Source organism: Homo sapiens, chromosome 11 (genome assembly GCF_000001405.40).
Source record: "Homo sapiens chromosome 11, GRCh38.p14 Primary Assembly".
Lineage (NCBI taxonomy): Eukaryota > Metazoa > Chordata > Mammalia > Primates > Hominidae > Homo > Homo sapiens.
In genome coordinates this window covers 75,876,258-75,892,995 of record NC_000011.10, presented here as the reverse complement: position 1 = coordinate 75,892,995, position 16,738 = coordinate 75,876,258, and the positions used below count along the sequence as shown (strand labels likewise).

The window sequence follows — 16,738 nt, the reverse complement described above, 5'->3', positions numbered from 1 at the left end:
ACGTTGGCTAGGCTGGTCTTGAATGCCTGACCTTGTGATCCACCTGCCTCGGCCTCCCAAAGTGCTGAGATTACAGGCGTGAGTCACAGCACCCGGCCAGGAATATTTCTTTTACATTTCTCCGATTTCATCAATCCTTGCTTCTTGCTTGGTGCTGAGGAAGGTCTCAAAGTGTACACTTACAATGTCATCTTGACTGGAAACTCTGCTTGCGGCTTTGTTAAAAAAGACAAGGTTTTTTAAGGTTCAGTCTACATGTCAGGTGTTCATTTGAAAGCTGGTAAAGGGGGCAAGATCTGCTGAACTTATCCAATTAACAAAGCTCACTAACTGAAGGACAATAGGGGAAAGTACACCACTAATTACGATCATATATTCAATAAGCATGTACTGACCATCTGCTTTTGAATCGCAGCTCTGCTACTCAGGGAGCTGCGTAATTTGGGGAAAGTTACTTAAGTTCTCTGTGCCAACTTCCTCTTCTATGAAAGGCCAAGTGTGAGGTTTAAATAAGGTAAAATGTGTAAAGTGTTTAGAATAGTGCCAGCATAGAAGTGCTCACTAAATACTAGCTATTATTCCCGTTAGAGGGAAACACTTACTCTGCATTCCCATGTTCCCACACAGGAGACAAATGCCCCACTCCATTTCTCAGGAGAAAAGGTCATGAAAGGAGCATCTGCAGTTTCTCTGTGTCCTCCACTCACTCCTCTCCAGGACCAGCAGATGACTGATCTGATGGCTGGGCTTCAGAGATGGACCTGTGTGTGACTGGCTTAATTCTTTCCAGGTTCTCTCCAATCAGAAACAACCTGTCTAACCACGCATACAAACTTTGCTTCTGGCTTGGAGGCTCAGGCTTTGTTCCTATAAGAGGAAGACCTTGGTTTCACTTGTTTTGTTATTTTGTGGGGGAGGTTCAGTCCAAGAGGAAGTATATAGAAGGAATCGACAAGCCCTTTTAGTCACAGCAAACTCTTTTAGTCACATAATTTAAATCACATTTGTCCATCAGTTTTATTAGTAATAAAGCCAATGTTCTGATCTACATTTATCTATCACCTATCCTTTTTTTTTCTTTCCCCTCCCTGAGACAGGGTCTCGTCCATTGCCCAGTGAAGTGGCGCCATCAGGGTTCACTGCACCATCAACCTCCTGGTCTCAAGCAATCCTCCCGCCTCAGCCCCTCAAGTTGGTGGGACTACAGACACGTGTCACCACACCTGGCTAATTTTTTGTTTGAATTTTAGTACAGACAAGGTCTTGCTACGTTGCCCAGACTGGTCTCGAACTGCTGAGCTCTCGAACTGCTGATCCTCCCAGCTCAGCCTCCCAAAATCCACTGGGATTACAGACTATCACCTATATCTGAACTTGCTCCAAACTCAGGAGAAGAAAGGAGTATTAGTTATTGGCTTACTCAAAATCTCAACAGCTCTGAGGATTTGGCTATAAGGTTCTTGGGGTATTAAATACAATAATAGATGTGAAGCTCTTACAGTGTTTGATATACAGTAATGCTCAATACATTTTAGCTATTAATATTATTATTATATGTGCCAGATATTGTCCTAAAAGGTGAGTTATACCAGTTGCAGGAGGAACTTAATGTTGCAACAGTATTAGAACAGCTAACCCTGTACATGAGATATTATGAACAGCAGCAGTAGCAATCCCATAATTATTTCATTAAATCACAAACACTTTTACTAAGCAAACTGCATACCCCAAAAACTGTGGCAGGTGCTGGGAATTCAATATTATTTATAGAAATCTGTCCTTCAAAAGCTTACAGGCTAGAAAGGAAGAAAGACAAGCCTAGTTGCAAAGTGGTATATCCTATGTCAAAGGTATACATAGTATGTTGATATAGGAACTTAGAAGAGGAGAGCTTTGAAATAAAGAAAGAAAAATGTCTATCAGAGTTTGAATTGAATTTTGAAGAAGTCACTTGAATAACTTCCATTTTGCTAAATCCAATGGGCAATTTTTGGTCCTCCTATTTGATCACTCTCTCCTCTTAAAAAAACAAGCAAAAAGACAAACAACAATAACAACAACAACAACAACAACAAAACCCTTTCTTTCTCTGGACTTTGAGATTCTACACAAAACTTTGCTCTCTTTCCCTTGGGCCACTTCTTTTCAGTCATCTTTTCTGGTGCCCCCTATGTGGACTTTAAAAACTGGAGGTCTTCCAGGCTTGGGTACCTAGCCCCCTTTCTTCCTACAGTACTGCCTGTTCCTAGTCCATCTTATCACCACTTATGACTCCAATGACTGTTTGTCATTGGCCCCACATAAATATTTCTAACCTAGTCCTCTCCTCTGAACTTCAGACTCATAGATCCAAAGGCCTACTTCCATCTACACATGAATGTCTCAAAGGCATCTCAAACTCCACAGGATCAAATCGCAACTCACAATCTGCCTCCACCAAACCTGGTTTTCCTCCAGTGTCACTTAGTTTTCTCAGTGCCTGACACCTTTATCCATCCAGTTACTTCATCTAAGCCAGAAACCCAAAAGTCATCCATGACACCTCCTTTTTCTTATGCCTTAAATTCAAATCATCAGCAAGTCCTAATGATTTTATCTACTAAAACTTTCTTAAATCTATCTTCTCTCTATTCTACTGTCACCCTGTTTCAAAGTAATACATCTGTTATCTGGTATACTGTAAGATCCTCCTTACTGGTCTCCCACAAATATTCTTGCCTCTTCTACAATCAGTCTCTACTGCAGCCAGAATGAAATTACTGAAACGCAAATCTGATAATCACACTGCTGTGCTAAAACTCCTTTCACAAAGACCCCTGTTCTTAGGGTAAAATCCTTTAAAAGTTCTGCGTGCTGTGGCCCCTGCCTAGCTCTCCAGCCCCATCGGGTATCACTCCCCCCTCATCACTCTGACCTTCCTTTAGTCCCTAAAACTCATCATGTTCCCTTCTATTTCATGGCCTTCCAACATGTTAACCTCCTCTGGCTGAAATGCTCTCTCTATTCAGCCCCTACTCCCTACTCCCTTTACACAGTTCACTTCTATTCATCATCTGGAGTGTAGCTTTAAAAGTCAAGTCCCCAAGAAGACCTTTCTTGAGCCCTTAGAATAGGTTAGGCCCTCATTATATGCTTATATAGCATTTACCACCATTTGTGTTTACATGTTTATCTGTTAGATTACTGTATCAGTGTTTGCCTCTTGCATATATACTCCACAACAGCAGGAAATTATCCATTTGCTCACCACTGTGTTCTTAGCACTTGGAGTACAGTACAGTGGCTGACATACAGCAGGCGCTCAATAAAATGTTGTTGAATAAATGAAGTACTCTAAGCAACAGCATTTCAGACAACCAAGAGCTATGAAGCAACATGATCACTAAGAGCAAATAATGCACAGGGTTGTTGGGTAGAACACCATAGTAGAATAGAAAAAGCACAGGCTTTAGAGGCAGGCAACCTGAAATTTCAGCTCAGCTACTTTCTAGATGGGTGAACCTACGAAGCTCATCTCAAACAACTTTTTTCCTTAACTATAAAATGGAGAGGACAAAACAAACCACATTGGTTTTGGCTAGTATTAAGTGAGGAAAAGGACAAGAATCACCTGGCACAGTACCATAGATAGTAGGTACTTGGTAAATGTGAATTCGCTTCCCTTTCCTTTCTCTAATAACTTTTAGATGTAGAGATAATGCTGACTATAAAACAACCGATTCATAGTTTCTTAAATGTATTGAAAGTTATAAAAGATATCTGAAACATTTCATAAAACTGTATTGCATTTAATCAAAATTCACCATCCTTTCTTAACCCCCAAAGAGTTATGTAGAATAAGAGAAAACAGCTAGCTCCAGATTTCCTGTAGAAAAATTAATATAATCTGGATTTAGAAAAGATGGACTGGATGGTTATGTGCCTTACAGAATGAGTTTTCCCATTAAAAAGCATCCACCTTAAGCCACACTAAGCAACAAATTTAAAGCATGATTCTATTTACACAGAGTTTTCAGGATTATATCTACCCTGTACACCTGCAAGGCACACCTGCACTAAACAAAATTCATAACATTAGAAGGATCTTCTTACCTTATGTTCAAATGGAGCACCATAGTATCCATCATTCAGCCCAAAAATTATTTCATTTTGGTTTCGGGCATGAATCTAAGAGAGGAGGAAAATACAGTATTTGTTATTTTTATTCCGATCATGTTTTAATACAACCAGAGAATGACAGTTACAACAGGATCTACTTCAATACTGAGAAACCGGCTGACTACATCTAAACATACTAGCAGAAAACCAATCACTATTCAAAAGACCAGGTGATCAATTCAGCATTTCCTGCTTTAGTCAAAGGCCTTGCAAAACTATCACATGCAATCACAGGCACCATCACTCACATATCTTTCACAAACATTTCTTGAGGTTGTTATGGAATGGCTATTCCTGAACAATAGGGTATTCAGAGGCATATTCTACCCTCTCTAACCCCAAAGAAAACACAATTTATTAATTCTAAAAGTATTTTTTTTTAACATGAAGCCTAGGCCTGGCACAGTAGCTCACGCCTATATTCCCAGCACTTTGGGAGGCAGAGATGGGCAGATAGCTTAAGCTCAGGAGTTCAAGACCAGCCTGGGCAACATAGCAAGACCTCTTCTCTACAAATAACAATAACAATAAAAAATATTAGCCGGGCATGATGGTGCACGCCTGTGGTCCCAGCTACTCGGGAGGCTGTGGTGGGAGGACTGCCGGAGCCTGAGTGGTCAAGGCTTCAGTGAGCCATGATCACACCACTGCACTCCAGCATGGGTGAGGGAGCACAACCTCGTCTTAAAAATAAGAAAAAAAATGAAGCCCTAGAAAAACATAAAAGATTAATATATTCTATTTTCAAAAAGGCAATTTTTAAAAAAGCAATAGTATCCAATCCCTAAAGTCTTAAATGTCTGCAAACCACTCTCTTTTATTACTGTCTGCAAACCACTCTCTTCTATTATTGTCTGCAAACCACTCTATTTCAGATGAGGTGAGCTGCAGTCATTGCATCCCAAATTAAACTTCATTTAAAAGGTGGAAGAATAAAACTTTAAAAATTAAGGAACTGAGGCCAGACACCGGTAGCCTGTAATCCCAGCACTTTGGGAGGCCGAAGCGGGCGGATCACTTGAGGTGAGAAATTCGAGACCAGCCTGGCCAACATGGCGAAACCCCGTCTCTACTAAAAATACAAAACTTGGGGCCCGGCGCAGTGGCTCATGCCTATAATCCCAGCACTTTGGGAGGCCAAGGCGGGTGGATCACGAGGTCAGGAGATCGAGACCATCCTGGGTAACACGGTGAAACCCCGTCTCTACTAAAAATACAAAAAATTAGCTGGGCGTGGTAGCGGGCGCCTGCAGTCCCAGCTACTCGGGAGGCTGAGGCAGGAGAATGGCATGAACCCGGGAGGCAGAGCTTGCAGAGAGCCGAGATTGTGCCACTGCACTCCAGCCTGGGAGACAGAGCGAGACTCCGTCTCAAAAAAAAAAAAAAAAACCTGCGCCAGGCACGCTGGTTCAAGCCTGTAATCCCAGCACTTCGGGAGGCCAAGGCGGCGGATCACTTGAGGTCAGCAGTTTGTGACCAGCCTGGCCAACATGGTGAAACCCCGTGCCTACTAAAAACACAAAATTTAGCCGGGCATGGTGGCGGGCGCCTGTAATCCCAGCTACTCGGGAGGCTGAGGCAGGAGAATCGCTTGTACCCGGGAGGCGGAAGTTGCAGTGAGCCGAGAGCACGCCGCTGCACTCCAGCCTGGGCGACCAAGCAAGACCTTGTCTCAAAAAAAAAGAAAGAAAGAAAAAGAAATTAGCTGGGCGTGGCAGTGCACATCTGTAATTCCAGCTACTAGGGAGGCTGAGTGAGGCAGGAGAATTGTTTGAACCCGGGAGGCGGAGCTTGCAGTGAGCCGAGATCACGCCACTGCACTCCAGCCTGGGCGACAGAGCGAGACTCCGTCTCAAAAAAAAAAAACAAAATTAAGGAACTCAGATTAAAAAAAAAACTCGAAGTAGTATAAAGTGTCCAACTATGAAATATATAAATAGCTTTAGTTACTTCATCAGAAAGAGTTGTGGCAAAAAAAAAAAAAATTCTTCTGCCGTGAAGGTTTTAAGTGAAAGTTCAAGTGGGGGAAAGACAAGAGGGACTACCAGAACAGAATCTCTCCTTTCTCTACCTAGAGATGGAAAATAGTCAAAGCCAGCAGCAGAAGATTCCTGTGAACACTTCCCTGACTTCTGTATCTCCTACCTCTATCACCAAAGCAAAATTAATCACATACTCCCTGTTTATCCACATCATTTACTGAACTGAATACAATACCAAAAGATAAGTCTGCAATCATAAGTTTAAAATAAAAACTATAAATCAATCTCAAGGAGTTTTTCACCTTGGAAAAGAGAAAACATTATGAAAGCAGTCTCAAGATTAGAAGGATCCTGAAATTTAATAAACATAAAACATTTTTACACATATATACCTGGGGAAAAAAAGATTAAAATTATATTCACCAAAATGTTAACAATGGTTACAGCTGGGCAGAAGAATTACGTGTAATTTTTTATTCTCTTTTCTGTGCTTTTCTAAATTTTCCAAATTGTCCACAAACAAAATTAGAAGAAAATAAAAATATACACTTAAAGAAAGGGATGGGAGAGTATGGGGAGAAACAAATCTAACATGAAGGTAAAGTTCTCAAAGTGTAAACTTCATGAAGACGTGCATTAAAATAGTTTGTTGAAAAATAAGAAACAATATAGTACTAGTACTTGAAAAGATACGGGGTTAAAAAGTAAGTAACCTGAGTTCTAATTCCAACTTTAACTGTTTCTTAAGGAACTCTTCAGAGAAGGGAACTCTGACTTGTTTTACAGCCCTGGTACCCCTACTCTATCCAACATATAGTAGTTTATCAATGTTAATGGTATATACTTTAATTCCTTCATCAGCCAAAAACCAGAAAACATTTCCTGCCCTACCTTGCATGAGTGTCATAAAAACGGTGAGATAATAAGATATGAAAGTATTTTTGGAAATTAGATGTAAAAAACATTGATTAAAAAATCTAATAATGTATTAGGAATAAGGCAACCATAAAACTCAGAAAGATCCCTTTGTTCCTGACTAATAAATATGCTTAACAAAACTGGCTGTATCATATTGCACACTACTGTGCACATTTCCGAACTGCTAAATTATGCTAATAAGCGTAATGTGTACTATCCTTTACTTATCAATTATAGGTTAATGGCCTAACAATAATTGTATTAGAATCCTAATATGGAAACTATAGAACTTAGAACTTAACCACAACCTCGTATTTTGATATCTTTACGAAAAACAGCATACTTTTTAAGACAGCTGCTAGGATTAGTGAAATGAATAATACATACAGTCTGAGCAATGAAACAACTAATGGCCTAAATCCACCAAACACTGCGCGATCTTTGGCAAATCACTGAATCTTTCTGAGCTTCTGTTTTCTTAAATACTGAGGAAGAAAACAATACTTGTTCACATGATCTTCAAAAAGCTTCAGGTCATTGTATGTATGTAAAAAGATACCCAAACACTGAAGAGGTATACAATTGTTGTTGTTATTAATACAAAGTTCTAACCACTTAAACTAAGCACAAGAATTTCTTCCATAACACGCAAGTTAGGATGATACATGACCCATGTAAGCAATCTACAAAAGAAATCTACCAAAAAAAAGTACCAGATTTGATTTTTGAGTTTAGCAAGGGTGTAGAATACAAGCTCAGTACAGAGATATATATTTCTACATATACTAGCAAAAAAAATTGAAAACAGAAATATTAAAAAAGAAATACCATTTAAATTAGCATAAAAATCTATAGGTATAAATCTAACAAAATATGTGCAAGATCTGTATGCTGAAAACTACAAGAAAATTTTTATAAATGGAGAGACATATCTATAGACTGAAAGACTCAATACTATTAAGAAGTTAATTCTCCCCAAATTTTCTTAGATTCAACATCTATCAAAATCCCAGGATTTTTATAGAAATGGACAAACTGTTCTAAAGTGTATATGGAAAGGCCAAAGACCTAGAATAGCCAGAAATTTTTTGAAAAAAGAACAAAGTTGAAGAACTCATTGACTGAATTCTAGACACATTTTAAAACTACAGTAATCAAGACAATTTGGTATTGGCATTAAGACAGAAATACAGATCAATGAAACAGAACCACACAAATGATTCTCAACTACTGATTTTCAACAAAGATGACAAGGTAATTCAATGGAGAAATAATAGCCTTTGCAACAAAGAGTACAGGAACAATTGTTCATCCATCTGCAAAACAATGAACCTTGCACTTTATATAGAAAATTCAAAATGGATCATTGATGTAAATGTAAAACCTAAAACTATAAAACTTCTAGAAGAAAACTTACAAAAGAAAACAAAGGAAAAAGTCTTTGTGACCTTGGGTTAGGCAAAGATAAGACACAAAAAGCATGTAACACAACAGCAAAAACTGACATAGTGGACTTCACCAACATTAAAAAATGAAAAGACAAGCCACAAACTGGCAGAAAATATTGGAAAATACATATCTTATAAAGGACTGATTTATATCCAGAATACATAAAGAACTTTACAACTCAATAATTCAAACAACCCAATTAAAAATGAGCAAAAGATCTGAACACTTCACACAGAGAGAGAGAGAGAAAGAGAGAGAGAGAGAGAGAGAGAGAGACTGATCTCAAATAGACTTTTTGCTTACAAGGCTCAATTTAATTTTGTCATTAGGAAAATTCAAATTAAAACTACAATGAGATACCACCTCAAAATTTAAAAAGACTGGCAATCACAAGTGATAGCAAAGATGTGAAACAAACAGAACTATTATACATTGCTGATGGGAATGCAGGATGTTATAGTCACTTTGGAAAACTGGCAGTTTCTTATAAATTTCAACATACATTTACCATTAGACCCATCAATTCCATTCCTGGAGATTTACCCAAAAGAAACACAAAGACCTATATTTAAATATTCATAGTAGCTTTATTTATTATGGTGGTGGTTACTCAACTCTATCGGTTTTTCAAATTCATTGAATTGCACACTTTAAAAAGGGTGGATTTTATGACATGTAAATTGTACCTCAATAAACCTAACTTAAAAAAAATACTTTATTCAGAAGTCATTCCTCCCTGATTCTATACAAGCTGGTCTAAATATCTCTTCCCCGTACGACTCTCACAGCTCTCTATGAAGGTATTCATCAATCATCAGTACACCGGGTCTAAGAACCTTGTCCTACAAATCTCTGGATCCTTAACACAAAGAACAATGCCTGGTAGAAAGTATATGATCTATCAATGAACCTAACTGATTCTGGCTATTATCCTAAAACATCTTAGCCTCATGTTCCTCCAAAACTTTATAACTCTATTTAATCTTATTTTTAGCAGTATGTTACTTGTTATAGCTATTTTATAGATAAGTTTTGACTTTCTACAATGATCTTAAGTTTCTATCTGGCTTTAAGAAACATGTTTTTTCTTTTTTTTTTTTCTTTTCTTTTTTTTTTTTTGTTCTCTGTTACTCCAGCATAACTGACTTTATATGAAGACACCTGAATGCCAACTCTCTGAAAGTAGGGCTGGTTAGATATAAGCTCAGCTGGGTATGGCAACAAGACCACCACCGAAGGAAAGTGTGACTTGAAAAACATGATGAAACCCATCTTCACTAGCCAAAAAAGCCCTTCAGGCCTAGAGCCCTGCAACCAGAACGTTAAGAAGCACCATCCTCCATGAAATATAGATACTTTCAAGTAGAAGAGAAACAAGTACTTAATATCAGAGTCTATCCAAAGAGAGCCAAGTATGGTATGTGGGAAGATAGATGGGATATATACCCCAGTGCAGGGATCTGGTTGGTCAGTCTAAAGGCAACAAGTACCTGGTAGCAAAAAAGAAAACAAAGGCCCTGGCCTAAACCAAAAGTCATTATTTTCTAAGTTTTAATTAAGATAATCCCTAAAACAGAGAAAAAAATTAAGATTTTTTAAAAAATGTTTAAATTGTAGTTTAGAATGTAGTTTAAAGAACATATATATTATATGCACTGTTCTGGTCACTATAGGACACAAAATAAAAAAAATATGTTAAAAGCATGATCTCACTTGTCCGTGGAATCTAAAAAAGTTGAACTCATAGAAGTAGAGAGTAGAATGGTGGTTAGCAGGAGCTGCGTGGAGGGGAGGAGGCTTGGGAAGATGCTGGTCAAAGGATACAAAATTTCAGTTAAATAGGAGGAATAAGTTCACGAGACTACAGCATGGTGACTACAGGTAAAAAATTTAAAAATAAAAAGTATGGTAAGCAAAATGAGCACAGAGATTTTTAGTTTTTTTTAGATTTTCAAAAAAAATTTTTTTTTTTTTTTGAGATAGAGTCTCACTCTGTCACCCAGGCTGGAGTGCAGTGGCGCCATCTCGGTTCATTACAACCTCCACCTCCCCGGTTCAAGCAATTCTCCCACCTCAGCCTCCTGAGTAGCTGGGATTACAGGCACATGCCGCTGTGCCCAGTTAATTTTTGTATTTTTAGTAGAGACAGGGTTTGCCATGTTGGCCAGGCTGGTATCAAACTCCTGGCTTCAAGTGATCCTCCCGCCTCAGCCTCCCAAACTGCTCCCAAGGTTACAGGCATGAGCCACCACACCTGGCCCAGATTTTCAGATTTTTAACCTGAAAAAATGCAGAATTAAGTTGTTTCTTTAATAAGAAACATCTCAGAAAGTATTATATTGAATAAATATGAAGAAAGCATCAAGATGTTTATAGATAATCTATGACTAATATTTTATGGTTACCTTTAATAGTAGTACCATAGGCATCACAAAATAGAAATGAGATTCATTCCAAGGTGGGGTGGGGGGTTACCAAGGACCACATGTATATACCAGTGCAGTATAGGACAAAGAGAATGAATTTTTAAATCAGCCAGGCCTGAATTTAAATCTTAGCTCCAGCTGTGTGATCTTGAATCATTTCCTAAAGTTTCTGAGGCTCAATTTTTTTCATCTGGAAAATAAGGGCAATAATATCAAACTTCACAAGGTTGCTATAAATATTAATTATAATAATCTATATCTGATGATAGCAAATAGGTTTCATTTCATTTACAATTCTAACAGATTCCTAGTTTTGTCCTGGAACACTGTTAGAAAGGATTCTGAAGGCCTGGTGCCATGGCTCATGCCTGTAATCCCAGTTCTTCGGGAGGCCAAGGCAGGAGGACTGCTTGAGCCTAGGGGTTCACAACCAGCCAGGGCAACATAGCAAAACCCAATGTGAAAGGAAAACATCTTGGGCCCCCAAAATCATTAAGGAAAACTCAAGCTGGAAACTGCTTGGGGGCCCTTCCTCCCATTCTATTCAAAGTCACCCCTCTGCTCACTGAGATAGATGCATATCTGATTTGCCGCCTTTGGAATGGCTAATCAGAAACTCAGAAGAATGCAACCGTTTGTGTATCACCTGTCTGTAACCTGGAAGCTCCCTCCCTGCTTCGAGTCTTCCTGCTTTTGTTTCAAGTTGTCCTGCCTTTCCAGACTGAACCAATGTACTTCTTACATGTATTGATTGATGTCTCATGTTTCCTTAAAATGTATAAAACCAAGCTGTGCCCCAACCACCTTGGGCACGTCTTTCTGGGGCGGTGTGACAGGCACATCCTATCTTGGCAAAATAAACTTTCTAAATTAACTGAGACCTGTCTCACATGTTTACACCCATCTCTACAAAAATAAAAATAAAAATTAGCTGGGCATGATGGCGCCTGCCTGTAGTCCCAGCTACTTGCTGAGGCAGGAGGTATTGAGGGATTGAGGCTGAGGCGGAAAGGATCACTTGAACCCAGGAGTTTGAGGCTACAGTGAGCTATGATCACACCACTGCACTCCAGCCTAGGCACCAGGGCAAGACCCTGTCTTTAATTTAAAAAAAAAAAAAAAAAAAAAAAAAAAGAAGTAAATAAAAGAAAGGAAGAAAGAAAATATTATGGAGCTACTTTTGAGCCCAGTTAAAAGAGAACTGTAGAGGCCAGGCACAGTGGCTCACACCTGTAATCCCAGCACTTTGGGAGGCCGAGGCGGGTGTATTACCTGAGCTCAGGAGTTCGAGACCAGCCTGGCCAACATGGAGAAACCCTGTCTCTACTAAAATACAAAAAATTAGCTGGGCATGGTGGCACATGCCTGTAATCCCAGCTACTTGTGAGGCTGAGGCAGGAGAATCGCTTGAACTTGGGAGGCGGAGGCTGTGGTGAGCCGAGATTGCGCGCCATTGCACTCCAGTCTGGGCAACAAGAGTGAAACTTCGTCTCAAAAAAAAAGAGAACTGTAATCTACTAGCTACATCAGTCATGGGTACAGCAGAGATGGAGAACCAGTGGCAGCAAATAATCCAAGCAGGTGTCATCCTGTGCTCAATAAATAGTAGCTCTTCTTATTCCTGGAATAACGCTACTGGTCAAAAGAGAGGTATTTAACGTGATATTCCTTATTTCAACTTAATTTTCAGATTCTAGGTGAGGACATCCAGTAAGACAGAAAAAGCAAAATGCTATGAGAAAGCACATTCTTTCCTAAACACACACACAAATCCATCTTCATAAATTTCTTCAGACAAAGGTGTTTGTTAAACTAGGCAATGATTCAAACATAACAATGTAAGTAATATAAGTAAATAATAACATATGTAAATGATCATCAAGGTCTCTCTTAGTGATATAAGTAAACAGTCATAAAAGTCTCTCTTTATAATAGGAAACGCAGAATCAGAAGAATCAACAGAAAGGTTAGACACGTTAATTTGGAGATGACAACTACTTGAAACTACAGTCTAAAAATTACCTGCTGACCCAAGTATTTCAGCCCATCCAAACAGACTTTCCATTCAATCAACAGCTGGTAGATGTTCTCCTTTCCACCCCATATCTTCACCACGAAACAAGACACAGATGTATCAAGACGGTCTGGCATAATTCCAAAATCGAGACTTCGCCACGTGGGATTCTGCTCATGAAAATGAAAACACGCTTTAGGACAACTCTATTTGTTTACGATTATTTCAATTAGGTGACAAATCATTTTGTTTTTCAAAACCAAAAGACCTCATAAATACATTAAATTGCAAACTTAAGTAAGCCAAGAAGACATTACAATTAACACAAAAGGGGTGATAATGGTACTTTTGAATTTCTCTGCTTACTTATTATAGTCATTAGAAGAAGCGTATATTCCTATCACTCACTTACATGGTTTCATACGGTAATTCATTCATTTATTCGACACTTAATACGTGATTATTAACAGCCAACACATAAACAATGCCCTCAAAGAGGCTCCAACTTACTGTTGGATTCAAACCTCCATTTAAATAATTACACTGTTTTGTGCAAAGTTCAATAACAGAATTATGCATAAGGCTACACAGCAGAAGAGAAAGGAAAAATAAACTGATGAACAGGGGAAGACATCACAAAGGCTGTGAAACCTGGCTTTTAACAGATAAGTGGGCTTTCACCAGATTAAAATAAGTAATTTCAGGCAAAGAGGAACACAATATGAAAAGGGCTCAGAGGTGTAAAATGCCAAGGTGTGGTCAGGGCACTCAGGACTACTGCTGGAGCACACAATACAAAAGTGGCAGGACACAAAGCTGGACAGACACACAAGGAACTGAACTGAAGGATCTTTTATGCCTTTTGCTAGGAGGGAATACTTTACTCTGTACAACAGTGGGGCCATTGAAATGTTTTCAAGTTGAAAATAACAAGGTCAGCTTTATGCTCTGAAAGAACATTATTTCTCATTAAGAGAACCGTCCAGGGAGTCGAAACCCTCTCTGAAAAGTGAAAATGTTAAGGAGCTTTCATAACATCAAAGGAATGAACTACAATGTAATACATCAACTACTTTTGCTTATTTCCCCTACATTAAACATAAGGGGGTCTCCCTCTCCCTCTCCCTCTCCCTCCCCCTCCCCCTCCCTGTCCCTGTCCCTGTCCCGTCTCCCCACGGTCTCTCTCTCTCTCTCTTTCCATGGTCTCCCTCTGATGCCGAGCTGAAGCTGGACTGTACTGCTGCCATCTCGGCTCACTGCAACCTCCCTGCCTGATTCTCCTGCCTCAGCCTGCCGAGTGCCTGCGATTGCAGGCGCGCGCCGCCACGCCTGACTGGTTTTCATATTTTTTTGGTGGAGACTGGGTTTCCCTGTGTTAGCCGGGCTGGTCTCCAGCTCCTAACCGCGAGTGATCCGCCAGCCTCGGCCTCCGGAGGTGCCGGGATTGCAGACGGTGTCTGGTTCACTCAGTGCTCAATGGTGCCCAGGCTGGAGTGCAGTGGCGTGATCTCGGCTCGCTACAACCTCCACCTCCCAGCCGCCAGCCTTGGCCTCCCAAAGTGCCCAGAGTGCAGCCTCTGCCCGGCCGCCACCCCGTCTAGGAAGTGAGGAGCGTCTCTGCCTGGCCGCCCATCGTCTGGGATGTGAGGAGCCCCTCTGCCTGGCTGCCCAGTCTGGAAAGTGAGGAGCGTCTCTGCCCGGCCGCCATCCCATCTAGGAAGTGAGGAGCGCCTCTTCCCGGCCACCATCCCATCTACGAAGTGAGGAGCGTCTCTGCCCGGCCGCCCATCGTCTGAGATGTGGGGAGCACCTTTGCCCCGCCGCCCCGTCTGGGATGTAAGGAGCGCCTCTGCCCGGCCGTGACCCCGTCTGGGAGGTGAGGAGCGTCTCTGCCCAGCCGCCCCATCTGAGAAGGGAGGAGACCCTCCGCCCGGCAACCGCCCCATCTGAGAAGTGAGGAGCCCCTCCGCCCGGCAGCCGCCCCGTCTGGAGAAGTGAGGAGCCCCTCCGCCCGGCAGCCACCCCGTCTGGGAAGTGAGGAGCGTCTCCGCCCGGCAGCCGCCCCGTCTGGGAGGGAGGTGGGGGTCAGCCCCCACCAGGCCAGCCGCCCCGTCCAGGAGGGAGGTGGGGGGGTCAGCCCCCCGCCAGGCCAGCCGCCCCGTCCGGGAGGGAGGTGGGGGGGTCAGCCCCCCGCCCGGCCAGCCGCCCCGTCCGGGAGGTGAGGGGCGCCTCTGCCCAGCCGCCCCTACTGGGAAGTGAGGAGCCCCTCTGCCTGGCCAGCCGCTCCGTCCGGGAGGGAAGTGGGGGGGTCAGCCCCCCGCCCGGCCAGCCGCCCCGTCCAGGAGGTGAGGGGCGCCTCTGCCCAGCCGCCCCTACTGGGAAGTGAGGAGCCCCTCTGCCTGGCCAGCCGCTCCGTCCGGGAGGGAGGTGGGGGGGTCAGCCCCCCGCCCGGCCAGCCGACCCGTACGGGAGGGAGGTGGGGGGGGTCAGCCCCCCGCCCGGCCAGCCACCCCGTCCGGGAGGGAGGTGGGGGGGGTCACCCCCCGCCCAGCCAGCCGCCCCGTCCGGGAGGGAGGTGGGGGGGTCACCCCCCGTCCGGGAGGTGAGGGGCACCTCTGCCCGGCCGCCCCTACTGGGAAGTGAGGAGCCCCTCTGCCCAGCCACCACCCCGTCTGGGAGGTGTGCCCAACAGCTCATTGAGAACGGGCCATGATGACAATGGCGGTTTTGTGGAATAGAAAGCGGGGAAAGGTGGGGAAAAGATTGAGAAATCAGATGGTTGCCGTGTCTGTGTGGAAAGAAGTAGACATGGGAGACTTTTGATTTTGTTCTGTACTAAGAAAAATTCTTCTGTCTTGGGATCCTGTTGATCTGTGACCTTACCCCCCAACCCTGTGCTCTCTGAAACATGTGCTGTGTCCACTCAGGGTTAAATGGATTAAGGGCGGTGCAAGATGTGCTTTGTTAAACAGATGCTTGAAGGCAGCATGCTCGTTAAGAGTCATCACCACTCCCTAATCTCAAGTACCCAGGGACACAAACACTGCGGAAGGCCGCAGGGTCCTCTGCCTAGGAAAACCAGAGACCTTTGTTCACTTGTTTATCTGCTGACCTTCCCTCCACTATTGTCCCATGACCCTGCCAAATCCCCCTCTGTGAGAAACACCCAAGAATGATCAATAAAAATAAAAATAAAAAATAAAAAATAAAAAAAAAACATAAGGGCTTTCACTGCTGAATGTAAACAAAATCAACCTATTACCAATTTTCATATTATGTAAATCAGTAAATCAAAGGGTCTTCAGATAAGGGTAACTAACTGTTCTTGGCTTTGTGGCAGTTTTTTTTTTTTTCCTGACCAAAGTGTAAGGTGGGAGAGGACACTGAAATACTACCACAAATAACATGATGATAACCTAGCACACACATTTATGCAGTCAGTTTTATACTGGATTGTATAAAAACTAAATGCTAGCCATGCAAGAATTTCAGTCTAAGATCAACAGAATTCCACTCTTAAATGACCTCCAGTCTGTATCTCACTATAACTGTTTTAGCAGCCCTGCTAAATAGGGGCAGAGTTTCAATTAAATGTGAAGACAACAATAAGGTCTGGGAGTAACTATGCTGATCCACACTACAAGAAATGCTTACAAAGTTCTTCAGGCTAAAGGGAAACAACACTGGATATAGACTTGGATCTAGGCAAAAGAATGGAGAGCACTGGCAATTGTAAACATGTGGGTAAATATAAAAGACTATATGGCCCAAGGGTGAATGGGTGAATGGAA

General features: G+C 42.0%; 1 protein-coding gene across 9 annotated transcripts in view, besides 1 other annotated feature; it reads right to left on the bottom strand.

The window, feature by feature from the left end:
- UVRAG (UV radiation resistance associated) overlaps window positions 1-16,738 on the bottom strand; it is a 329,023-nt gene that overhangs the window by 251,237 nt on the left and 61,048 nt on the right. For 8 of the 9 annotated variants that reach the window (NR_170160.1, NR_170161.1, NM_001386671.1 and 5 more), the window contains exons 4-5: window positions 12,956-13,117; window positions 4,093-4,167 (exon numbers count right to left, since the gene is read on the bottom strand). Coding sequence is in view for 7 of the 9 variants with exons in the window: in NM_001386671.1 (NP_001373600.1) it covers window positions 4,093-4,167; window positions 12,956-13,117 (237 nt within the window). In the remaining 2 variants the exon portion in view is untranslated. The remainder of the gene's footprint in view (window positions 1-4,092; window positions 4,168-12,955; window positions 13,118-16,738) is intronic. The other variant, NM_001386672.1, reaches the window with a different exon arrangement.
- Window positions 5,955-6,004: an enhancer, noted in NCBI's record as "active region_5281". NCBI's record gives its function as "activates an Ori minimal core promoter by ATAC-STARR-seq in GM12878 lymphoblastoid cells {active_cell/tissue: GM12878}" and the evidence as "EXISTENCE:reporter gene assay evidence [ECO:0000049][PMID:35858748]".